Source organism: Homo sapiens, chromosome 8, assembly GCF_000001405.40.
Source record: "Homo sapiens chromosome 8, GRCh38.p14 Primary Assembly".
Lineage (NCBI taxonomy): Eukaryota > Metazoa > Chordata > Mammalia > Primates > Hominidae > Homo > Homo sapiens.
In genome coordinates this window covers 111,192,910-111,220,624 of record NC_000008.11, presented here as the reverse complement: position 1 = coordinate 111,220,624, position 27,715 = coordinate 111,192,910, and the positions used below count along the sequence as shown (strand labels likewise).

At 35.1% G+C, this 27,715-nt stretch overlaps 1 long non-coding RNA gene across 1 annotated transcript in view; it reads left to right on the top strand.

Moving 5' to 3' along the window:
* The window catches only part of LINC01609 (long intergenic non-protein coding RNA 1609), a 137,243-nt gene that overhangs the window by 15,579 nt on the left and 93,949 nt on the right, over positions 1–27,715 (top strand). The window lies entirely within an intron of this gene.

The following is a 27,715-nucleotide window of genomic DNA, read 5'->3' as shown; positions in this document are numbered from 1 at the left end:
TAATAGTTCATTTATTTTTGACCCATTTTGAAGTATGAATTGAAAATTGTTGTGAGAGTAAAAATTGCCTTTGAAAACAAGCCTTCTACAGCTTTTATTAGAAGCCCTTGAATAGTAAGTGAGTTTTGAGATGGTATATGTTTTCTTTATTTTAGAAATTATTAAGGCAATTTCCTCCGATAATACTAAAATAACTTTAGAAAATAATATGAAAATGGTGAAAGTACATCTAATACTTTTATTGTAACCTGAAGCTATTCTATGAATATATGAATTGTCATTATTTTCAGTGTTCTATGATTAAAGAATAAAAATGACTTAAGGATAAAGGGTGCATATTGCTTCATAATATTTAGTTGACAATTACCTATATTGGGAAAAAAGGATCAGGCTTACTTTAAATAAATTTTAATGTTATTATTATAAGCAATTGTATCTCTTAATTTCCTACGTTTTATTTTAATAATAGACTAGATCTCAGCCTCAAAGAGTTTTCATTCTCAAAGTTACTTAGAGATCACTTAACCTTCAGTTACAGTTAACCCTTGATGTCACATCACTATTAATCTTACTTGGAAATAATTATATTATTATCAATTGAATATAAAATAAAACACATTTTAAAAGAAAAGTTGAGCATGGTTTTATTTTGTAGCTAAAAATGTAATTTAAGAATCTACTATTTAATTGTTTAAACAAATTCTCAAGCAGTATGTCTACCATATATAATTGATTTTTTATTTTATGGAGTCTTTTGATGGGCAAATATTTTGAATTTTGATTAATTTCAACTTATCGATTTCTTTAGTTTATGGTTGCTCTTTCAATCTCCCTAAAAAAATTTCCTACCAATGGTTACAAAGAAAATTCCTTTAAGACTGTATAGTTTTAAAAAGTATCTTGCAATTTATTATTCATTTTCAATCTGATTTGATCTTTTTAAGTTCTTATATTCACATATGAAGTTTAGAACTGCTTGTTAATTTTTACTACAAGCCTTCCTGGATTATATAACGAAGCATTGGAACTACCAGTCATTTCAGGGAGAACTAACATCATAACGATATTGAGTCTCATCAAAGTTTGGTAATTTTCAGTGTAGTGCTCTGTCACTTCATAAGTTAAAGGTATTCCAAAATGTCTAATTTATTTTATCCGATGGTAAATGTAATAATTAAAGAAAGAGGAAAGAATCATGAAAGGTGGCCCTTAAAGAGGGCTTCTGGCAGAGTTAGGTCAGAGGCACACTTTCTTACAGACTAAGAGTTTTTAAGTACTCAAGGTGATGTTTATCAGAAGCTTGGACTGCTTCTGTGTCTTTTTATTGTGCTTATCTGGGAGGGAGAGTTCTGTGTCTGCTCCTATACATCTTTCTGCAGCTGCAGACATACTCCCTGAGTCTGCTTTTAGCTTTCCTATCTTAGTGCACCTGAAGGGAAAGGAATGAGCTTATTAAGGCCCACTGTTTTACTGGGGCCCATTGTATGAGAGTGAAGTTTGGCAGTTACCCAAGAGACGTTCCCCTCACCTCCCTCTGTGCCTGAGCTGTCTTGTCTGTGTTTTATTCTCTGCTCTTTCTGGCTGCTTGTAGTTAGAAGAGAAGCTTCTACATGATTTCCTTGAAATGCATGAGACTGGAAAGGGAGCTAGAACTTAAGGTGGTGGTGTTTGTCCAAAATGACAGTGCTCCTCCTCTGTTAGAAGGACCATTTTTATAATTTTTGTTTTAGTTTTTATTGCTAGGTTATAAAAAGAAAATTATTATTATATACTAGATTTTAGTAAAAAACATTTAGAATCCTTAGCATTTTCTCAACACAGACATACACACATAAAAGAGATTTTACTTATTTCTCTATCTGTATGCTTTCTAGCTTTAGATTATGCCACTATTTGTTCTTTCTAGCACGATACTGAATATAAATGTTAAGATGGGCCAGTTGCAGGGCCTCACACCTGTAATCTCAGCACTTTGGGAGGTTGAGGCAGGAAGATCACTTGAGCCCAGGAATTCAAGACCAGAATGGGCAACATAGTGAGACCCTGTCTCCACAAAAAATGAAAGTAGCTAAGATAAGAGGATCACTTAAGCCTGGGAGGTAGAGGCTGCTGTGAGCCATGATTGAGCTACGGCACTCCAGCCTGGGCCATAGACCCTGAAAAAAAAAAAAAAAGGGAAAGGAAAAAGAAGGAAGGAAGGAAGGATGGAAGGAAGGAAGGAAGGAAGGGAAGGAGAGAGGGAGGGAGGGAGGAAGGAAAGAGAGAAAGAAGGAAAGAAAGAAAGGAAAGGAAAGAAAGAGAAAGAGAGAGAGAAAGAAAGAAAAAAGAAAGAAAGAAGAAAGAAAATAAAAAGAAAAGAAAGGAAAGAAAAAAGAAAAAGGAAGGAAGGGAGGGAGGGAACAGTTAAAAGTTAAGATAACATACTCTTAACCTCCAAATTAAAAGAAGCCATTTAATATTTTAACAATAATAATCTTAGTTGTAGATTATACACAATGTATTCTAACCTTATAAAGTTTCCTATTTTATGAAGATTTTTTTTTTTAAATTATAAATTGGTTTTGGATTTTGTCAATGTGCTTCCTGAATATGTTGAGATAATTTTTACCTTTTTTTGTTGACAATGTGGAATACTATTTTGGTTGATTTAAAATATTGAAACAAACTTCCATAATTGAGATAAACCCATGCCTGAGTGTGTTAAAATTTTTATATGTTTTATAATTTGATTTGATAATGTTTTATTAAGAAATTCATATTTTATTTTTGAGTGACTTAAATGGAATAAATAAAATACAATCAACCTTTATTTCCTGAAAGAAGTTTATAAAATCACTATGTTTTCATTATTAAAAGTTTCACAAAATATACCAGTGAAGCCACCAGGTCCTTGAGACTTTTTTCAAAATATTTTAAAATTATAATTCTTTTAAAGTGATTTAGGCCCCTTCAGTGTTTTAAATTCCTTTTGTATCAACTTTGCTAAACTGAGTTTTCGAGAACTTTGTTCATGTCATGTAAGTTATTAAATGTATTAATGTAAACATTTTTCTTCATATTGCTTACTAGTTTAAGGTATTTACAATGTCTAATGGTATCTCCATCATTTCTAATGATTATTTATTTTTTCATTTTTATCTTGATCAACTATGTTAGGAATTTATCAAAATAACTAATATATTCTATCTGTAAGCTTAAATTTATGTTTCCAACTTTGTTAATGTCTACCTTCATTTTTCCACTTTCAATTTGTTCCACTTTCAATTTGTGTGGATTGGCTTTCTAGCTTCGTAATATGATATATTACATAATCAATATACAATTGTTTGTCAGTATTATGATTTTTAGTTATAGAATTTTCATTTTAATAGATTCTATTTCTGTAGAGTCTTATGCAACCAATAAGATGATACTGTTCTTCATGTCTGTATTTATATTTAAAATAGCAGCATCAAAGTCCTTGTCCCCTATTTCCAACATATGGGTCAACACTTGATGTGTTCCTACTTATTGCAGTTTTTACCATATATTATAATATATGTATATATACACACATATACAAATGTATGTATACACACTTACACACACACACACACAATCTCCTTGAACAGATTCAAGAGTATCCACCAGTAATTTAGTTGCCTGACAAAATTGCCTGCATAAGGTTCAATTAAATAATCTAATTGCTTCATGAGAGCTCTTCATTCTGGCAGAGCTTTAGCTTCAGAAATGCATAACCTCTGAATCTCTATACATCAACAATGACTTGCTGCTAGGCTTCCCAGAGGCCTCCATGAATGTGCTGCCAAGCTTTTGGCCAAGGACTTTAGGAGAATCCCTTCACAGTTTTCTGGGTGGGGGTCCTCTTCTGTATAACTTTACCTTTCCAAAAACCTGCCTGACAAATTTGCGAACTGAGAAGCTCTGATTTTCCCATGTATGCACCTCGGCTCAGCTTCGATCTGCTTTCCTGATTAGGAATGCATTCAAAGGTAAAACCTTGGGTGAATGTGGAGCTCACTTATGGATCCAACTTCTCTCGCTCTGCTGTTTGTTATCCAACACCAGAAAACAGTTCACTTATAAATGTGTACACTTCTGCAGTTGTTTAAATTGAGAAGTTCACCTTAGCTATGGGTAGAGGAAACCCATATTTTTAACATTATGTGAAACAATAGAAAAGGAAATATTGTGAATTCAGAAAAGCTACTGAACCAAACTTCTGCCTAAAACTTACAGAAACTAATTTGACACACACACAGACACAGACACACACACAGACACACAAACACGTGCATTCATAGAAAATTATGAAGGTCTAATTTTAACCAAAATTATCTTGAGAACAAGAGGATTAGGAACACTGCTAACACTGTATACTCACATCAAAAATCTGCTAAAAATATCAAAACCTTAACCTGTTATTCGAAATGATTAAGAAACATTAAGATATTTATAGGACATATGAAAATACAATATGTGAAAGTTATAAATATCTGAAATGGGTGGCAGGAATGCAGAAATAATTAACTTTTTTAAGTATTAGAAATTAAGATTAAACAAATAAGAACCCAGGAGTGAATTACAAAAATAATAATGCATTAAGACGCATAAACGTTAAAAAAGAAAAAAAAAACAAAATATAAAATCAATATAAGTTTTTCAACAGAAAGTAATGAATATTAAATATAGACAATAAAACTCTGAGTTAATAGAAATTTCTGAAGGAGAAAATCATGCAAGGGAGCAGAACGCATACTAAAATGTATTATTCAGAAAAACTTTATTGAATTAAAAAAAGAAAACTACGTAATGTTCCAGAATGATCAATATGTATTCCAATAGAACTGCTCGACTTCAAGAAAAAGAATCAGTTCTTTGAGAATCTAGACAAAAACAAAAGCATGAGGTATAAAGGGAAAATGTAGGAAGTCTTATATATCATCAATTTATGACAAAAGTATATATCAGAAATAACATATCTAAAATTCTCAAGGAAAGACAATGGGGCCCTAAACCTCAGCCATTACTGAGAAGTGGAATATTTAAGTTCCAAGAGTTCATAACTGTTCCTTCAATAAGAAAAAGACCAGCTGAATCTAATGTTCCCTTCACTTGTGATAAACATTCTTTGGATGTAAATAAAACTATGAAGAATAAGTTTCTCCTCTGAAGTAGTTGCCTCAAACCCAGGTGTCAGAGAGCACAGATTGCTTATGATTATAGGCCTGATGAAAGGACAAGAAAGTTGTAACAGTCAAATTTCATTTTTAAGGAACTATTTTATTTATTTATTTATTTATTTATTTTATTTTACTTTTTTTTTGGAGACAGAGTTTCGCTCTTGCCCAGGCTGGAGTTCAGTGGCATGACCTCGGCTCACTGCAACCTCTGCCTCCTGGTTTCAAGCGATTCTCCTGCCTCAGCCTCCCAAGCAGCTGTGATTACAGGTGTGAGCCACCACGGTCAGCTAATTTTTCTATTTTTAGTAGAGACGGGGTTTCACCATGTTGGCCAGGCCTGTCCTGAACTCCTGACCTCAAGTGATCCACCCACCTTGGCCTCCCAAAGTGCTGTGATTACAGGTGTGAGCCACTGTGCCCTATCTAAGTAACAGTTTAATCAAAGGGTTGTATGAGCATCCCACAAATGAAAAAGTGGTTGAATAAAAACCCTAAACTGCCAAGTAGCCATGGCCCATGACAATCACTGAAGGTTATCTGCATCAGGAGAAACAATGTTTAGCCGCAAAGAGACTACCGTTTGTGGATCAAGGATGGAAGCCTGGAAGTGTATGGAGTTGTTTTCGTTCTTTCTACCTGGTCCACTTCTGGCTATCACAAGAATAGAGAAACTGAAGAATCATACATATGCATCCCACTCTTTGACTAAAATAAATTCCAGAAATCAATCAGGTCATATTTTTTTCAGCAGAAAAATGGTTTTGCCTTGAACTTACTTCCAGGGGACACGGAAATGAAGAAGTTGATGGACTATTTGGAAGGCCCATGATCTTCACATAAATAAATATTATTATTTCCATTATAAAGATGAGGAAATTGAAGTCCAAAGTAAAGGAGTCATTAGTTAAGGTCACACAAATATTAAGTGATGAAGAAATAATCCACCTTATGCAGTCTGACCCAATAAATTATATACAAAAACACCATACTATAGTACCTCTCTTTGCACTACACAGAATATACTATTGAATTTATGTTGTTATATTTATAGATATTATCTTGATTTTATGCAACGTACTTGCCTACTTTCTAGTTGAAGTATTTCTTCAAGAAAGCCTTGCATTATGTACATTCCAAATGTAGAAGCACATCTGGCAGCGCTTACACCACTGTCCTATTCTTAGGCTCACACAAAAACTTCAGTGAACTTCCTAGATCATTCAGTTTAGAACTCATGCTAAGTGAGTGATGAAAGCCTCATGGGTGCTTTGATTACCTCAATTCCTTGTCCATTCACTGGGAAATAGTAAGAATTACATATGACAACATTCAACATGAGGGAACCAATTGCTTTATGTTGTAATATGGCTTAATATGTACTTACAAAAAGATGCATTGAATCAAATAGCAATCTCATCAGCTGGCCAGGTTATTCATTTAATAGACACAGGTGAGTTATACTGACAATACGGAAGTAACTGCATTTGTGACACTGATAATTCTAAGAAATATCACTATGAGCTGTAGAAAATGTGACTCGTGTATTTAATTGGCAATATTAGAATTTCCTGACATTACACTGTGTCAATTCTAAACTCTTCAATGAGAAGAAAGACTAAGAGGCTTGAGTAGAATAATTTGTTCATAGCTTTACTGTGTGGCGTTATATAGTCTGTACGTTTGGAATGCATGCATGTAGTGTTAACAAGATGTGTTTGTGTGCAAGCAAGGGCAAGTGATGTTGACTTCTCACCTCTGTAAGCCAAACAATATAGGGAGAAAACTTTAAAGATACCAGTTAAAATTAAATATCAGATCTCACATGCCAAGGAAGAAAATATTTTATACATATTATAAATGAGACTTTCAGAGTTAAAAAGCATGAATACTTTTTTCTTACCACACAGTTACTAAGTGACTGAGTAAATATCTGAGCCCAGCTTATTTCTAAAGCCCACGTGCTTAATACTGTGTAGTTTTACATTTTTTCAGAAGACAATAATAATACATCAGCTGAGTGAGTATAAGCCAATATATATACTTCATAAATAAAATACTGTAGTATTTTCTTAAGGCTGCCATAAGAAAGTATCAAAAATTGGTGGCTTAATGCAACGCATGTATTTTTTCACAGTTCTGGTGTCTAAAAGTCTGAAATCAAGGTGTTGGCGGGGTGAGTTCTTTATGAGGGCTTTGAGGGAGAATCTGTTCATTGCCCGTCTCCTAGTTTCTGGTGTGTGCCTGCAATCCTTGATTTTCCTTGGCTTGCAGATACATCACTCCAGTCTCTGCCTTTGTCTTCATGCGGTGCCCTTCCTATCTCTGTCGTCTTCTTATAAGGATACAAGTCACACTGGATTAAGGTCCCAGCCTACTTTAGTATGACCAAATCTTAAATTAACTAATTTCATCTGCAATTATGTTATTTCCATATCAGATCACATTTTGAAGTACTGGGTCATGACTGCAACAAATCTTTTGAAGGGACACGATTTAACCCAGAATATCTACTACATGCTGAGATGCTATATGTTAATTAACATATTCAGAATGTGTTATTCATGACCCAAGGAGAAACCGTACATCTTTTGAATCTTTCTTCCAGTTGAGAGCTAAACAGCAACTTTGATTTCATAAGCAAGCGTAAGATTCTTTTTATAAAATAATTCAAAATGCAAGAGTTGTAAAAATATTATGCAACAGAACAGTATAACAAATATACTGACTGGAAAGTGAAAAACAAAAAGTACAAATAGCAGTATAAATAAATACTTCATATGTTCTGAAAGACAGAAGATATGAAAAAATTTTCAGATATCTCTGAAATATCAGTCCAGTGATGTGCAATAACTAATAGACTTGTGGACTCAATTAATTATGTATTTAGAGAGGAAGAACGAGGAAGTGCATTTTAGCAAGAATTCAGATAGATTCCAAGGATATGAGTAAAAGCAGAGAGGTATGCAGAAATTTGTTGTGGAGGTTATAAATTAAAGGGCAGTGATTATGCAGTTGTATGCTCAATGTTTGATATTCATTATTTTTATCCATAACAATTAATTTTAAAAATTAATGTTATTTTGCCAAAGAATAGCTTATTATAATTATATGTCAGCCCACATTGTTGAAGATTAAGTTCATTATTGTATTAGTGAAAATGCTTTACAGCACTGAATTAATCAAAATGTTAAATTTAAAACTTCATATAAAAGAAATTCATCTCACGCCTGTAATCCCAGCACTTTGGGAGGCCAAGTCCGGGCGGATCACGAGGTCAGGAGATCGAGACCATCCTAGCTAACATGGTGAAACCCAGTCTCTACTAAAAATACAAAAAAATTAGCCAGGCATGGTGGTGGGTGCCTGTAGTCCCAGCTACTCGGGAGGTTGAGGGAGGAGAATGGCATGTGAACCTGGGAAGTGGAGCTTGGAGTGAGCCAAGATCGTGCCACTGCACTCCAGCCTGGGTGATAGAGCGAGACTCTGTCTCAAAAAAAAAAAAAAAAAAAAGAAATTCATACTTCATATAAAAGAAGTATGGAGCTAAGTATTCCAGGGTTGAGCATCTATGGAGTTCTCTATACCATACTTCACTATCCTTGTTGATGGTTTTTAAGTTGATTGTTTTATTTTGACTTCTAGAACTCTAGTTATGACAATGTTAGACTAGTATAAAAAACAAAAGGAGGCTCCAACTGTACGTAGCTGCCTAGGTTTCCTTGCACCTTGGTAATTATTACACTGCTGAGTAAACAGCAGCCAATATCTGTTTGGCATTCTGAGCCTCATTTATGCCAGCTCTGCACTGACTATACCAGGATGCCAAAATAGTTGAAAGGAGAAAGAAAGGGAAGAGGGCAAGCCCTTCCCTAAAGATTCAGCCACATTGAAATAGCACTGTCAATCTCACCCAACACTTGCTCTTATCATTCACTGCCAAAAACTTCTACCTAATGTGAACAGGTAGAAAAAACAGGTTGCAAGTAAACATATTACTTCCCACAAACTTTGTAAGGAATATTGTGCCCAGATTGAAAAAAGGTTTGTGTTTCTCAGGAGTAAAGGTAAGATGGATGTTGTATTCTCTATTGGAGAGCCCAAATGTGAAACAGCTCACTTGCCAACTGAATAGTTTCAGAAGTATTGAACCCAGCCTTCAGATTTTCAATTATGTAGACAGGTTGAATTAAGTTCAAAAAGGTTAAACTATTTTGCTGAGGTCACCCCAATACCTAATGCAACTATAAGAATGTAAATCCAGGTCTCCTGGACACTAATTCATGTTTGATTTGAATATAATATGCCCCTTTGAATGTAATTCTTTCTACACAAGAACAAAAATTATATTCACAACTTAAATGCAAAAGAGTTACTTCTAAATTTTTACCTTTTCAGTCATCTTTAAAAATGAAATATAAAACAGATATCAGTGTTCAAATCATAAATGCTAATTTCAATAAATTATTAAAAAATTAACACATTAATAATCACACACCAGTTTTAAAAATTACTACCACTGGTAATGCTCCTGTCCTGCCACTTCTGAGTCAGTAATTTCTCTCTTCACTCAAAGGCAAGTAACAGCCTGATTTTTAACCCCATAAAAGTTTGCCTGGCTTTGTATTCCAGATTTATAAAATCATATATTTGTATGTATTATGTTTGTAAAATTTAACCTAATACATCACAGTAACTAGTTTTTTAATACAGTATCCTTTTGTGCAGATTTTTAATATTCTATTGATGATATATTTGAGTAACTTCTTTGTTCTGAAAATGCCTCTATTCTAAATACTGCCTCTATGAATATTCTTACACATGGGCTTGAGGCATGTATACACTAAGTCCTTACTTAACATTGTTGACAGGTTCTTGGAAATGGTGACTTTAAGCAAAATGATGTATAACCAAATCAATTTTACCATAGGCTAAGTGACAGAAACAAGAGTTAATTCCCCATGTCATATTTCTGGCCACAAAAACATTACCCAACTTCCAGATAAAGACCTGAAAGACTTCTATCATTGAACATTAACATAAATGTGAGCTATGTATACCCTTAAGAAAGATTAATAAAAACAAGTAAGATAATAATTTACAATTTTTAGTGATTCAGGGAGTGATGGTGGTCATCGTCGTGACTTAAATCAAGGAATAAGTGATTGCAAAGCAAAAAATTGTAAGGAGTACCTTCTACCACCGTGCAGGTCAAAAACAATCACAAATATGGCAGGCTTGCTGAGAGTTTTCCTCTCACATCATTTATTGTTGTGCATTTGTATGATTATCATATACTTTACAGATGTTTATTTTAGGACAATTTGTGTTTTGCATTCATTCACTTTCTAATCAGCTTATTCCAGTGCAGGGTCACAGGTGACCACAGCCTGTCCTGGCAGCTCAGGGCCCAAGGGACGAATCCACTTTATGCAGGACAGTATTTCATTGCAGGGCACGCTCACACACCCCCCACACTCACTCAGAATGGAACCATACAGACATGCCAAGGAACCTAACATGCACATCTTTGGGGTGTGGGAGTAAACAAGGAGACCTGGAGAAAACCCAGGCAGACATGGGGAGAACTTGCAAACACCACAGACTGGCTCCAGACAGGAATCATTTATTTTCTCATCAACATTATATTAAAATAACAAGAAGATGTTGAATTAAATGACGTTATTCAAAGACCTGTGCATTTCCACTTGCTAAGAGAGAAATTGCTGGGTTATATTGTGTGTATTTAACTTTATTGAACGCTCCAAAGTGTGTGCAATCATTTTACTTCCACCAGCAGCTATTGGGAATCCTACTTGTTCCATATTTTTTACGATTACACAGTGTTGTGATTGTTTAGATAGATAGATAGATAGGTAGAGAGTACTTAGATAGATAATGATAGATAAGATAGAAAAGATAGATGACAGATAAGACAGATGGATGATAGATAGATAGATAGATAGATAGATAGATAGATAGATAAATAGATTATAAGCAGCTTTTCATATTGAGGCTGCATTGTAAATAAATGGCTAGGTCCTCATAGTCCTACATTTATCATTTTTTGGGTGATGTAGCTCTTTCCATCTCAGGACAATTTATGTGGAGTATGGCAACCAAGTAGCCAGAAGCATGGCTGAGGAAATAAATAATTTAGTAGTGAAGGGGCATACGCCTCATGCCTACCACTATTATACCAGTCCAGCTTAAAATTATGAAGTAATGGTAGTTTTAGGAATACAGTAATCAAATAGTTAAAATACTTGTGCAATTCAGAGGTAGGTGTCTTTTTCTTTTCAACAATATTGACTTCATGAAGCGTATCATCTTATAATGAAAAGAGTTATTGATGTCACCATAATTGTTCCTTTGGATCTTTGAAATAACGCATGTTGCTTTTAACATATCTTGATTTAGTCTTTTAAATTTTCATTCAAAATCAAGTCACACTTTTAATAATTTAGGCATAACTTTGTTTTAAGACTTGATTCAGGCCATTGCCAATGTAAAATAAATTAGGCATAGCACTTCTTAAATCTTAGAAAAGGGGCTAGTTAATACTGTTACTGCCCAGAGCTATGATTAGAAACATGACGTGACTTATTTGATTGAGTAGTCTTTTCCAATGCTTACATGCACAATAAATACTAAATTTATTCTAAGAAGTGCTACGTGGTGGTAGGAGAGGTATTATTTATCATATATTATCTGCATTTTTTATTATTATATCTATTCTATATTGGTATTTGTGATAGTTAATACTGAGTGTCAACTTGATTGGATTGAAGGATACAAAGTATTGATCCTGCCTGTGTCTGTGAGGGTGTTGCCAAAGGAGATTAACATTTGAATCAGTGGGCTGGGAAAGGCAGATCCACCCTTTAATCTGGGTAGGCATAATCTAATCAGCAGCCAGCCTGGCTAGAATAGAAGCAGGCAGAAAAATAAAAGAGAGACTGGCCTAGCCTCCCAGCCTACATCTTTCTCCTGTGCTGGATGCTTCCTGCTCTTGAACATTGGACTCTAAGTTCTTCAGTTTTGGAACTTGGACTGGCTTTCCTTGCTCCTCAGGCTGCAGATGGCCTGTTGTGGGACCTTGTGATCGTGTTAGTTAATACTTAATAAAGTCATATATATATATATATATATATATATATATATATATGTATGTATATATATGTATGTATATATAGATGTATGTGTATATATATATGTATAAAACTCACACACACACACACACACGTTCCATTAGTTCTGTCTCTCTAGAGAACCCTAATAAGGTGCTTTAAAAATTTTTGAACATCAAAATATATACCATATAGGTAATTCTCTTAAAATTTTTCTAATCTTAAAATGCCAAAAACAGCATTAATAGAAAAATATACCATATCCAAGGTGGTAAATTATTTAAATATCAATATTGTTATTTTTAGTGTTATAAAATGAGAGAAAAGATATGAATGCAAAAACAGACTACTAGATATAATTTTTGTAGAAGATGAACAGATCAAGAAAACCGTTAATGACTATAGGTGTGTCTTAGTTATTCTTTTCATATGCTATACAACAAACATCCAAAAGATAAGAAAATATGTTTTCAATATATGTATAAATTGTTGATCTGTGTGAGTGGTTAGATATGCTTCTTATTCTGATGAATAAAAATGACTTGATACATATGCTTTCATATGTAGGTAAATTAATATAACATTTATTATTTCATTTATTTTTGTATATATCTATATGTATGTGTTTGTAAATATAATATGCGCTTGTGTGTGTGTGCGTGCATATGTGTGTGTATTTCTCCTGAAATTTTATGATGAAAAGAAAAGATTTCACCAGTGTCTGTTATTACGGCTGAACTACACAACAGTAATTTAGGTTACTATGTAACCTACATGGCCTTCAAGTGTCCATGTGTATGTGTGTGTGTTTCATTCTCATTTTTAAAATGAAGAATCAAGCCTAGAGAACTGTAAGTAATATATGCAAAATAATTGAACTAGTAAACGATGCAGAATACTGGCAGTCAGATATTCTTCATATTATTAATACTTTTACTGGTTTTATCATAATACCTTTCTGTTACCACTAAATAATCTGTTTTCATTTTTATTCATTATATTACTTTTCTATGCTTCTAATTTTTCTAATTTTACTTTGGTAAATGCCATCTTATTTATTGATTATCATATTTATTTATTGATAATCGATGAAAATGAAGTACATGTTTTCAGGATATTTCAGAGATTATTTAGCCTAGACTTGGATCGTTATTATTATTTACCTCATATTTAATAATAAAGACATTATAAAAACCATAAGTCCTTACTGGGGAATGGTTATAAGGCTTTTGCATATTTCTTTTTTTATTATTATACTTTAAGTTCTGGGATACATGTGCAGAATATGCAGGTTTGTTACATAGGTATACACGTGCCATGATGGTTTGCTGCACTCATCAACCCGCCATCTACATTAGGTATTTCTCCTAATGCTATCCCTCCCTTAGTCCCCCACCCCCTGACAGGCCCCAATGTGTGATGTTTCCCTCTCTGTGTCCACGTGTTCTCATTGTTCAGCTCCTACAAATGAGTGAGAACATGTGGTGTTTGGTTTTCTGTTCCTGTGTTAGTTTGCTGAGAATGATGGTTTCCAGCTTCATCCATGTCCCTGCAGAGGACATGAACTCATCCTTTTTTATGGCTGCATGCTATTCCATGGTATATATGTGTCACATTATCTTTGTTCAATCTGTCATTGATGGGCATTTGTGTTGGTTCCAAGTCTTTTTTATTGTGAATAGTGAATAGTGAATAGCAATAAACATATGTGTGCATGTGCATTTATAGGAGAATGATTTATAACCCTTTGAGTATACACCCAGTAATGGGATTCCTGGGTCAAATGGTATTTCTAGTTCTAGATCATTGAGGAATCGCCACACTGTCTTCCACAATGGTTGAACTAATTTACACTGCCACCAACGGTGTAAAAGCATTTCTATTTCTCCACATCCTCTCCAGCATCTGTTGTTTCCTGACTTTTTAATGATCGCCATTCTAACTGGCACGAGATGGTATCTCATTGTAGTTTTGAGTTGCCTTTCTCTGATGACCAGTGATGACGAGCAATTTTTCATGTTTGTTGGCTGCATAAATGTCTTCTTTTGAGAAGTGTCTTTTCACCTCCTTCGCCCACTTTTTGATGGGGTTGTTTGAGTTTTTCTTGTAAATTTGTTTAAGTTCTTTTTAGATTCTGGATATTTGCCCTTTGTCAGATTCATATGGATAGACTGCAAAAATTCTCGCCCGTTCTGTAGGTTGCCTGTTCACTCTGATGACAGTTTCTTTTGCTGTGCAGAAGCTTTTTAGTTTAATTAGATCCTATTTATCAATTTTGGCTTTTGTTGCCATTGCCTTTGGTGTTTTAGTCATGAAGTCTTTACCTATGCCTATGTCCTGAATGGTATTGCCTAGGTTTTCTTCTAGGGTTTTTATGGTTTTAAGTCTTAAGTCAAAGTCTTTAATCCATCTTGAGTTAATTTTTCTGTAAGGTGTAAGGAAGGGACACAGTTTCTACTTTCTGCATATGGCTAGCCAGTTTTCCCAACACCATTTATTAAATAGGGTATTCTTTCCCCATTGCTTGGTTTTGTCAGGTTTGTCAAAGATCATATGGTTGTAGATATGTGGTATATTTCTGAGGCCGCTGTTCTTTTCCATTGGTCTATATATCTGTTTTGGTACCAGTACCATACTATTTTAGTTACTGTAGCCTTGTAGTATAGTTTGAAGTCAGGTAGCCTGATGCCTCCAGCTTTTTTCTTTTTGCTTAGGATTGTCTTGGCTATGCAGGCTCTTTTTTGGTTCCATATAAAATTTAAAGTAGTTTTTTCCAATTCTGTGAAGAAAGTCAATGGTAGCTTGATGGGGATAGCATTGAATCAATAATTTACTTTGGGTAATATGGCCATTTTCACGATATTGATTCTTCCTACCCATGAGCATGGAATGTTTTTCCATTTGTTGGTGTCCTCTCTTATTTCCTTGAGTAGTGGTCTGTAGTTCTCCTAGAAGATGTTCTTCACATCCCTTATAAGTTGTATTCCTATGTATTTTATTCTCTTTGTAGCAATTGTGAATGGGAGTTCACTCATCATTTAGCTCTCTGTTTGTCTATTATTAGGGTATAGGAATGCTTGTGATTTTTGGACATTGATTTTGTATCTGGAGACTTTGCTGAAGTTGCTTATCAGCTTAAGGAGATTTTGGGCTGCGATGATGGGATTTTCTAAATATACAATTATGTCATCTGCAAAGAGAGACAATTTGACTTTCTCTTTTCCTAACTGAATACCCTTCATTTCTTTCTTTTGCCTGATTGCCCTGGCCAGAACTTCCAATACTATGTTGAATAGAAGTGGTGAGAGAGGGCATCCTTGTCTTGTGCCAGTTTCAAAGGGAATGCTTCCAGTTTTTGCCCATTCAGTATGATATTGGCTGTGGGTTTGTCATGAATAGCTCTTATCATTTCGAGATATGTTCCATCAATACCTAGTTTATTGAGAGTTTCTAGCATGAAGGGCTGCTAAATTTTGTCGAAGGCCTTTTCGTCATCTATTGAGATGATCATGTGGTTTTTTTCGTTGGTTGTGTTTATGTGATGGATTACATTTATTGATTTGTGCATGTTGAACCAGCCTTGCGTCCCCAGGATGAAGCTGACTTGATCATGGTGGATAAGCTTTTTGATGTGCTGCTGGATTCAGTTTGATATATTTTATTGAGCATTTTCACATCAATGTTCATCAAGGATATTGGCCTGAAAGCTTTCTTTGTTGTGTCTCTGCCAGGTTTTGGTATTCACATGATGCTAGCCTCATAAAATAAGTTAGGGAGGATTCCCTCTTTTTCTATTGTTTGGAATAGTTTCAGAGGGAATGGTACCAGCTCCTCTTTGTACCTCTGGTAGAATTCGACTGTGAATCCATCTGGTCCTGGACTTTTTTGGTTGGTAGGCTATTAATTGCTGCCTCAATTTCAGAACTTGTTATTGGTCTATTTAGGGATTCGACTTCTTCCTGGTTTAGTCTTGGGAGGGTGTATGTGTCCAGGAACTTATCCATTTCTTCTAGATTTTCTAGTTTATTTTTGTAGAGGTGTTTATAGTATTCTCTGATGGTAGTTTGTATTTCTGTGGAGTCAGTGGTGATATCCCCTTTATCATTTTTTATTGCATCTATTTAATTTTTCTCTCTTTTCTTCTTTATTAGTCTGGCTAGAAGTCTATCTATTTTGTTGATCTTTTCAAAAAACCAGCTCCTGGATTCATTGATTTTTTGAAGGGATTTTCCGTGTCTCTATCTCCTTCAGTTCTGCTCTGATTTTAGTTATTTCTTGCCTTCTGCTAGCTTTTGAATTTTTTTGCTCCTGCTTCTCTAGTTCTTTTAAATGTGATGTTAGGGTGTCGATTTTAGATCTTTCCTGCTTTCTCTTGTGGGCATTTAGTACTATAAGTATCCCTCTACACACTGCTTTAAATGTGTCCCAGATATTCTGGTATGTTGTGTCTTTGTTCTCATTGGTTTCAAAGAACATCTTTATTTCTGCCTTCATTTCATTATGTACCCAGTAGTCATTCAGGAGCAGGTTGTTCAGTTTCCATGTAGTTGTGCAGTTTTGAGTGAGTTTCCTAATCTTGAGTTCTAATTTGATTGCACTGTGGTCTGAGAGATTGTTTATGATTTCCATTCTTTTGCGTTTGCTAAGGAGTGTTTTACTTCCAATTATGTGGTCAATTTTAGAATAAGTGTGATATGGTGCTGAGGAGAATGTATATTCTGTTGATTTGGGGTGGAGAGTTCTGTAGATGTCTATTAGGTCCTCTTGGTCCAGAGCTGAGTTCAAGTACTGGATATACTTGTTAATTTTCAGTCTCATTGATCTGTCTAATATGGACAGTGGGGTGTTAAAATCTCCCACTATTATTCTGTGGGAGTTTAAGTCTCTTTGTAGGTCTCTAAGAGCTTGCTTTATGATTCTGGATGCTCCTGTATTGGGTGCATCCTCTTTTTGTTTCATTGATCTCCTTTACCATTATGTAATGGCCTTCTTTGTCTCTTTTGAACTTTGTTGGTTTAAAGTCTGTTTTATAAGAGACTAGGATTGCAACCCCTGCTTTTTTTTTTTGCCTTTCATTTGCTGTTAAATATTCCTCCATCCCTTTATTTTGAGACCGTATGTGTCTCTGCATGTGAGATGGGTCTCCTGAATACAGCACAGAGATGGATTTTCAGCTTTTATCCAATTCGCTAGTCTGTGTCTTTTAATTGAGGCAACTATCCTATTTACATTTTAAGATTAATATTGTTATTTGTGAATTTGATCCTGTCATTATGATGCTAGCTGGTTATTTTGCCCATTAGTGATGCAGTTTCTTCATAGCATCAATTGTCTTTACAATTTGGTTTGTTTTTGAAGTGGCTGGTACCGGTTGATCCTTTCCATGTTTAGTGCTTCCTTCAGGAGCTCTTGTAAGGCAAAATCTGGAGGTAACAAAAATCTCTCAGCATTTGCTTGTCTGTAAAAGATTTTATGTCTCCTCCGCTTATGAAGCTTAGTTTGGCTGGATATGAAATTCTGGGTTGAAAATTCTTTTCTTTAAGAATGTTGAATATTGGCCCCCACTCTCTTCTGGCTTGTAGGGTTTCTGCTGAGAGACTGCTGTTAGTCTGATGGGCTTCCATTTGTGGATAACCCGACCTTTCTCTCTGGCTGCCCTTAATATCTCTTCCTTCATTTCAACCTTGGTGAATCTGATGATTATATGTTTTTGAGTTGCTCTTCTCAAAGAGTATCTTTGTGGTGTTCTCTGTATTTCCTGAATTTGAATGTTGGCCTTCCTTGCTAGGTTGGGGAAGTTCTCCTGGATAATATCCTGAAGATTGTTTCCAACTTGGTTCTGTTCTCCCTGTCACGTTCAGGTTCACCAATCAGACGTAGATTTGGTCTTTTCACATAGTCCCATATTTCTTGGTTCTTCCTTCCATATTTCGACTTCTTCCTGGTTTAGTCTTGGGAGGGTGTATGTGTTCAGGAACTTATCCATTTCTTCTAGATTTACTAGTTTATTTTTGTAGAGGTGGTTATACTATTCTCTGATGGTAGTTTGTATTTCTCTGGGGTTGGTGGTGATATCCCCTTTATCATTTTTTATTGCATCTATTTGATTCTTCTCTCTTTTCTTCTTTATTAGTCTGGCTAGCAGTCTATCTATTTTGTTGATCTTTTAGAAAAACCAGCTCCTGGTTACTTTTCACTCTTTTTTCTTTAATCTTGTCTTCTCACTTTATTTCATTGAGTTAATCTTCAATCTCTGATATTCTTTCTTCTGCTTGATTTGGCTATTGATACTTGTGTGTGCTTCACGATGTTCTCATGCTGTGTTTTTCAGCTCCATCGGGTCATTTATTTTCTTCTCTAAACGGGTTATTCTAGTTAGCAATTCATCTAACCTTTTTTCAAGGTTCTTAGCTTCCTTGCATTGGTTTAGATCATGCTCCTTTAGCTCGGAGGAGTTTGCTACTACCTGCCTTCTGAAGCCTACTTCTGTCAATTTGTCAAAATCATTATCTGTCCAGTTTTGTTCCTTTGCTGGTGAGGAATTGTGATCCTTTGGAGGAGACGAGGAGTTCTGGATTTTGGAACTTTCAGCCTTTTTGTGCTGGTTTCTCCCCATCTTCGTGGATTTATCTACCTTTGGTCTTTGAAGTCGGTGACCTTCAGCTGGGGTCTCTGAGTGGATGTCGTTTTTGTTGATGTTGATACTATTCCTTTCTGTTTGTTAGTTTTCCTCCTAACGAGTCAAGCCCCTTTGCTGCTGGTCTGATGGAGTTTGCTGGAGGTCACTCCAGACCTTGCTTGCCTGGGTATCACCAGTGGAGGCTACAGAACAGCAAAGATTGCTGCCTGTTTCTTCCTCTGGAAGCTTCATCCCAGAGGGGCACTTGCCAAATGACAACCAGAGCTCTTCTGTATGAGTTGTCTGTTGGCCCCTACTGGTAGCTGACTCCTAGTCAGGATACATGGGAGTCGGGGATCCACTTGAGGAGGCAGTCTGTCTGTTATCAGAGCTCGAGTGCTGTGCTGGGAGATTCCCTGCTCTCTTCAGAGCTGCCAGGCAGGGAAGTTTAAGTCTGCTGAAGCTGCACCCCCAACCACGCCTTCCTGCCTGCTCTGCTCCAGAGAGGTGGAATTTCATATATAAGTCCCTGACTCGGGCTGCTGCCTTTTTTTCCAGAGATGCCCTGCCCAGAGAGGAGGGAATCTGGAGGGGCAGTCTGGCCGCAGTGGCCTTGCTGAGCTGCGGTGGGCTCCTCCCAGTTCAAATTTCCAGGTGGCTTTGTTTACACTGTGAGGGTAAAACAGCCTACTCAAGCTTCAGCAATGGCAGACACCCCTCCCCGCACCAAGCTCTAGCATCCCAGGTCGAGCTCAGACTGCTGTGCTAGTAGCGAGAATTTCAAGCCAGTGGATCTTAGCTTGCTGAGCTCTGTGGTTGTGAGACCAGCTGAGCCAGACCATGTGGCTCCCTGGCTTCAGCCCCCCTTCCACGTGAGTGAACGGTTCTGTCTCGCTGTTGTTCTGGGTGCCACTGTGGAATGAAAAAAAAAAAAAAAAAAAAAAAAAACTCCTGCAGCTAGCTCAATGTCTGCCCAAACTGCCATCCAGTTTTTTGCTAGAAACCCAGGGCCCTGGTGGTGTGGGCACTGGAGTGAATCTACTGGTCTGTAGGTTGCAAAGACCATGGAAAAAGCACAGTATCTGGGCTGGAGTGCACTGTACAGTCCCTAATGGCTTCCTTGGCTAGGAGAGGGAGTTCCCTGACCCATTGCACTTCCTGGGTGAGGCGATGCCCCACCCTGCTTTGGCTGGCCCTCCTTGGGCTGCATCCACTGTCCAACCAGTCCCAATGAGATGAACTGGTTACCTCAGTTGGAAATGCAAAAATCACACACTTTCTGCCTCGATCTCGCTGGGAGCTGCAGACTGGAGCTGCTCCTATTTGGCCATCTTGCCAGCAGTCCTGGCTTTTGCATATTTCAAACCAAATTTCAATTATTCTCTTTTAACCTGTGAAATATTTTAAATGAATGCACTTGAATGTATAATGTATCTTTTTAGTATAAAGATTTTCAGGTAAACTAGAACAATTGGTGTGTAGTTTTTCATTAATTTTATGCTTTAGATTTATACTTTAATGTATTTTGTAACTCAAATATAAAAGTTTTTCTGTGGATGCTCTGTAACAAAATCCAGTTATGATTAATTAGCAGAATGAGTATATATATGCTTACCAGGCACTGACAGTTTAGTGGGATGTTAATATTTCTGGGAGACAAAGATCTGGATGACCGTATAAATTCATGTCCTCCCCCTTTGAAGGAACTTAGCAGAAAGCTGAGTCATCCCATGAGAGGAGACTCATGTTCCAGAGCTTGGAGGCTCCCAGTTTGTATCTGAGCAAAGGCTTTTCCTCAGTGAGGAACAATTTCATTCTTATGACCTCATTTAGAATTTCCTTGACTTCCTATCTCTATGATGCATAAAATATTCAGAAGGTGGGGTATACTTTCTGAGAAGAGCAGCCATTACGTGTGCAGTCCAGAACTGAACACTGGCACGGCTCCCTCTGAGACAATGGGAGATTTGGTATTTTGTGCGCTCTGCTCTTTCTCCACTTGTAAGTTTTTCTCTACACTTCCCCAAAAGAAAACAACTGTGTTTTACAATTCTTGTATTAGTGCTATATGACACTAATAACCTGTGTGTCCCTGACTATTTGCAAATAATTATAATAAAACAAATGAGTAGTGCACAAACATAACCTTTTTAAGTAAGTATTTTAAAATACATTCAAAGAGAGAAAAAATCTAGACTATTACTTTGAGGGATTTTTTTTTCTTATGATTTCTCCAATAAGCAATTTTCAGTCACTGAAAGACATGTCTTTTGAAAAAGCAATAGTATATAAAATAAAATGTAGGGACAACCTGAGGTAATCTCTCTGAAGTCCCGTAACCGTTTTAAGAAACTCTTCAGGCACAAACAAAAAAATCTCATTAATATCACCAGCTTATTTGGAAAGAAGACAGAAAGACTCAAAAATGGAATGGCTACAATTCTCCAGAAGCATCCATCTGGAAAAACTCTCATATTCATATATTCATGCTAATATAATTCTTTTGTAAGCACAATATGGTGTCTCTGTGTGTGTGTGTGTGTGTGTGTGTGTGTGTGTGTGTATACATGTTTATATCTTAGAATACTCTTTTAATAATGTAGAATAAAAAATAAGAATACTTTTTAATTTAAAAAGTTTAAATCTGATTCAGAATTTAAACTAATTTTTTAGACAAAATATAATTTGAGCTATATATAATATAGCTCTGGAACTATAATTGTAATTTTTATAATTTCTACTTATAAATGTTTCCTGTGTAGTTTTCAGTTTTACCTTAGAAGGAAAAGAAAAGGAATCATTATGTTTTGGAAATAAACTTCTCAAATTTTTAATTTATATTAATAATAATTAAGATTGTGCCTTAAACGCCAAATTAGTTTGCTGAGCATAGGAATTGCATCATTGTAGTGAATTGAAAAGTAAACAAATAAACCAGTTTTCAATTTTCTGCCTGGATTTCAAACCTCCTCTACAGAAAGTAAATAAAAACAGTATCATTGAGCCCTTGCTACTCCACGTATACTCCATGCACAGCAGCCACCAGCATCAGCTGTGGGTATTTTTCAGAAGGGAAGAATTTAAGAAGCCTCCCTGGTACTGCTGAGCCTTGACTCTAACAAAACCCCCAGTTGATCAGTTTCTAATTGAAGTTTGAGAACTCTTGCTGCAGACCTATAATTGTTGAGCTTGGCTGTGTTTTAGAATCAACTGAGAGGATAATAAAAATGCTAATGGCTGGATTTCATACCCACGTATTCTAATTTAATTAATATGACTGTGGCTTGGACATTGGGATTTTGAAGGTACATCATATATTCCAACGTAGTGCTGCTCTTCTAGGCTCTTTACAGAATGCTTAATCTCATGTAATTCTAAACCCAATTTGCAATGAAGACATTATTGCCTCCACTTTGTATTTGAAAAGGGAGGGTACAAAAAAACCTTAACATTTTGAAGTTTAAAGATCATAAGGCCGGGCACGGTGGCTCATGCCTGTAATCCCTGCACTTTGGGAGGCCAAGGTGGGTGGATTGCTTGAGGTCAGGAGTTCGATATCACCCTGACCAACATGGTGAAACCCCGTCTCCACTAAAATAGAAAAATTAGCTGGGTATGGTGGTGGGCACCTGTAATCTCAGCTACTTAGGGGGCTGAGGCAGGAGAATTGCTTGAATCTAAGAGGCAAGGAGATTGCAGTGAGCCAAGATCACATCACTGCACCCCAGAGTGGGTGACAGAGAGAGACTCCGTCTCAAAATAAATAAATACATTAAAAAAAACACACAAATATCATAAAGCAGAGCTGGTATTCAAATTGTACCCTCATTTTTCTGTAAAAGTCATATTGTCTTTGGTACATGGTCATAGGTGTGAAATTTCAGGAGCTTATACACTGAGCCACATTAAAAATATATATATATATATTTATATATTTTATATATACATATAAAATCTAAAATGAAAAGTTCTGACCTAGTCTCTTCCTCATAGAATCATTAAGACTAAGAAGTTTACTAGCCAATTTCAATTAAAACCTGGCTTTATTCTTTAAACTTTTTTTGCTATAAAATATCACTCAGACTACCAGCAATGTTGAGGTAGGGAAAGTAGTGACTTTTAACTAATCATTACATGTCTAAGTATATAGTATCTGTTTGTTTACTTTTATGTTTATGTAAAAAACTGGCCTATTCCAAAAGATACACGCAAATTAGAATGGATACATGCAAATTAATAAAATTCAAATTCTCCAATTGGATACCATATTGAAATAACAAAGGGAAATTTGGTTAGGAATAAAACATACTTTGAAGTCATATTAATTGCTTGCTTAAGCATACATGCTCATTGTTACATTTGAGCAGCAATTATAAAAATAGAAATTTAAAGAGTTTTAGGAGCCATACTTTTCATTAGGCAAAAGAAAATAATTTTCATTAGGAAAAAACAGATAATTAAAAATTTTCAAACAAAAAATAGATAATTAAAAATGAGGGATTTCATTAAAAATGCTTTTGCATAAAGAAAATGAAAAAATTTAACATACAAAAAATTATCTGGATTTTTTTGTTGTTTAAATTTTTTTTAAGCTTTTCAAACAACTGAATGTAAAATAAAGGTGAAGAAATCTTACTGTAGAATTTTAAGTTATGTTTTAGCAGCAGACTATTTTTATGAAAATATCACAAGTAGTTGTAAAATAATTGAAAAAGACAATGACTATCATTTGATTGAGCAAATATATGATACATAATTTCTAAGTTTTATTTTTCATATGCTTTGTAATAATTTCATTAGATAGATATTATTGTCATTACATTTTATAGTTGAGGAAAGAATAGAGGAGATTGAGTTTAACCGAAGACTTGTTAAAAATATAGCTATTAGACTGAGCAGCTATAAGTGTAATCTTGACCTACTCATTTTTCCTCATTTTCACCAATAAACATTTCATTAAATCTTAGACCTTACAAACCTGTTTGAGAATAGGGTACGTAGATCAGGGGTCAGCCAACAAAGTGGGCCAAACCCAGCCTGCCACATGTTCTTATAAATAAAATTCTACTGGGCCAGAGTCATACTCCTTTGTTTCTGATGTCTGTGGCTGCTTTCACACTACAATTGTTGACTTTAGTAGTGGTGACAGAAATGACAGATGTAGCAAAGACCTTCTCTTTCATAGAAACAAAAATGTTTACTATATGGTCATTTACTGAAACAGTGTGTCCACCTATGATGTGGAACAATATTTTCTGAAATGTAAGTTTGGAATATTAAAATTATAATCAATATGCATTGGAAAAAGTTTTTTATTGTCTAATATCTTTGGGAAAATGATAAACTATTTTTATTGTATGATTCCTCAGCATTTTAAATATATTAGTATGTTTTTGAATCTTAAAGGGAGATTATATAGTATAGCTTTAATACAATTTTTAAAACTCTAGGATGTATGTACATTCTTTTAGAGCTAGTTTGTGAGTGCTAGGAGTACAGCAGTGCACCATCTGGTAAGCACTGCAGTATGAAATTATAGTTTAATTTCTCCTTTCAATAAATATACCTTCTAATTATACATTTTACTTTAAGAATAAAATTAGATATAATTATTCCATGTTTGTATAATAATTATTTCCAAACATTTTTTAAAAATCAAATAAATAATAATTAGCTGAAAAGTTAGGAAATTATTGCTTTTTATATTTATTTCAAACTGATTGACTGTCTCAATCTATTTCTTTCACCTAATTACTTTTGAACACCTCAACACTTTTCATAAAATCTTTTTTAGAAAATACAAAAATGGCTTCATTGAGTATTTCTTATTTTGTCGCTGCAAAAGCACAAGCAAGTTAGAGGAATAATACAGAGAATGTCATTAAAATTCCGTTGAGGTTCTCAGCCCCTCTGGTAGCTACAGTCAGTTTAGGAGTTTATTTCATAGTAATGAAAAGTAGAGTTGGAGGACATAATTTTAGTGTAATACTCCAAGAAACATTTGTTTCTCTGTTTAGATGCTGATAGCTTTTGGTAGCAGCAGGTTTGAGGTTACACTCTCTGGAAAAAAATCATAAAAGGGTTGCTATTGTACTCTCTCAAATAAATTCAAACGTGTGCTTTAATAGCATCCAGATCATTGTTAGAATCAACATCAAAGAAGCTGGTAAGGATGGTGGGTTATTACAGAATTCCATAGACACTGCCTTGTTAGCATTTCCAAGGTCAAAGTTGACTTAAGAAAAAAATTTTTCAAATATTTGTTTGCAAAGTCAAATTGGTCATTCTTGTCCACACACTATTTTATCATGTGAGTATACGAAGAATTTAGCAATGAAAACAATTAAAAGGTCTGTATTTTAAAATCAATATATTTGAACCAAATAAATATGAAAAGGGAATAAAAATATTTAAAAACTAATAGTAGTTAAAATATAGTTAGCCATTTACTTGAAAGTTTATCCCAAGCCATATTTCTTCAACATTTGTAACATTTACTTAGATTTTAAGTATATTGGTAAAAATGTTAGTGTCTTTAATATATTTGTTTATGTACTATGTACTATGGCCCATTGTATGTGAAATCTCTTTAAATAGGGTTAATGATATTTAGTACTACTTTTAGGAATTTGATAGAAAATATATAACACAGCAGTTATTATATATATATATATATATCAAGAAATCTGCCTTTCTCGTGGTAGAAAAACTACCATTGAGTACTATCCTCACTACCTGGGTGGCAGGATCTGTATCCCAAACCTCAGCATCATGCAATATACTCATGTAACAAACCTGGGCATGTACACCCTGTATCTAAAATAAAAGTTGAAATTATAAAATAATAAGAAAAATTATAAATGTTACAACCTCTTATCGCGATATCTATAAAGGGTCAAAATCATTTTTAAAACTTCAACCAAAATTTGTTTTATTAAATATATTGCTGTTTTCTACTCCTGAGAGAAAAATGAGAACCATACTATCGACCCTTTGCAGTAAATAAGAATAGGAACTTTTTTAAAATTCAAATTAAAACCTCAACTAATTTAGTTTGTGTGATTAATTGGACTCCCTTCTTTTCTGACTTTGGTGTAATACCAGGACATGTTTGATTAAAAAAAAGATAAAAATGAAATCATATGGGATAAGAAAAATGCACGGGCAAGTATACTCTGCTGTGCAATATGACAAAGTGAAAGAAACTGACCCAGCCCAGGTAGCCTATGTGAGTCAGAAGTTATTGAATGGAGTTGGCATTAAACAATAAAAATTTAAAAAGTGTCAGTTATTCAATTTTCCAACTCCTCAGAAATGCCTGTGGTATTGACTGCTGTATCCAGGCCACATCTGTTCTTAGGAGTATTGCAATAATCAGTTTGGTTGTAAAGACAACTTTTCATTAGTCAAAACATTCCACAGTAGCCAGGATATTTTTACTCTGGATTTGAAGCAACACATCTCCCAGTGTATTTGCCATATAAATAGATGGAAAAGCAATTTATTACAATGATGCATATCTCATTATGTTTTTATTCTACTCTTGTTTTAGATATTTAGAGTTTGGCTGAAAGTAGGAATTCTAGGCAGGACATAATTCTTTTTCATAATTTTGAAGCCTTTGCTCACATTGCTTCTGTCTTCCAATATTACTGTCAAGATGTCCAATGCCATTTTTACTTTTTCTTTGTAGAGGATATTATTTTTCTTATTTGTTGATTTTCAGTTCATTTCTCTCTGGATCCTTTGTATACATCTGTTTTTCTCTGGTGCTCTGATAATTCATTATGACAAATGTTGGTGTGCAACTTTATTCGTCTTGTTTGGAATTCATCTTGCTGGGTGCGCCTTTCCATTAAGAACATTATTACTTTTCAATCTTGGAAAATGTTATTGAACTATTCATTTAAAATTTATTTAAAATTCTTAAAAATTTTGATTATAGAAGCAGAGAGTAGAATGGTGGTTACCAGAGACTAGGGTAGTTGGAGGAGGTTGGGTTGGGGAGATGTTGGTCAAAAGATACAAAATTTCAGTTAGATAGGAGGAAGAATTTCAAGAGATTTACTGTACAACATGGTGTCTATAGTAAATGTATTATTGTAGTATTATGACATAACTCCCATAACCCTTGATACAAGTCTTTTGTTGTAATGTTGGGTGTGTTAGGCCTCAGCGATAGGCCTCAGGAAACAGGATCTCTCTGACCTTCTCCTGTCTTTTCACTTTCCTGAAGGCAGGACTCCTGCTTTTTTGATTCTGGGTCTTAAATATCTCCCCACAGAAGGTCCCAACCTATACCCTGGGGGAAGGATTGCTGACATTATGAAGCTTCCATAAAAATTCAGGAGGACTGGGTTTGAGGAGCTTCTGGATCTCTGAACACAGGGAAGTTCCCAGAGAGTACTGCCCAGGGAGGCCATGGAAGCTCCATGCCCCTTCCCCCATACCTCTCCCTACACACCTGTTTGTATGTATCCTTTGCAATAGCCTTTATAATAAGTCAGTAAATGTATAAATATTTCCATAAATTCTGTGAGCCTCTCCAGCAAATTAATGGAAACCAAACAAGGGGTCATGGTGTTGGCAGTGGAAGACAGCCAAGTTACAGGCAGCATATCTGTGTGGGTCTGCAGCAACTTCAGCCTTTGCCTCTTCAGAAGAAAGAATTCGCTAAGGGGCATAAAGAAGAAAAGAGACCCAGGCAAGTTCTAGAGCAGGAGTGGAGGTTTATTAAAAAGCTTTAGAACAGGAAAGAAAGGAAAGAATCCTTGGAAGAGATCCAT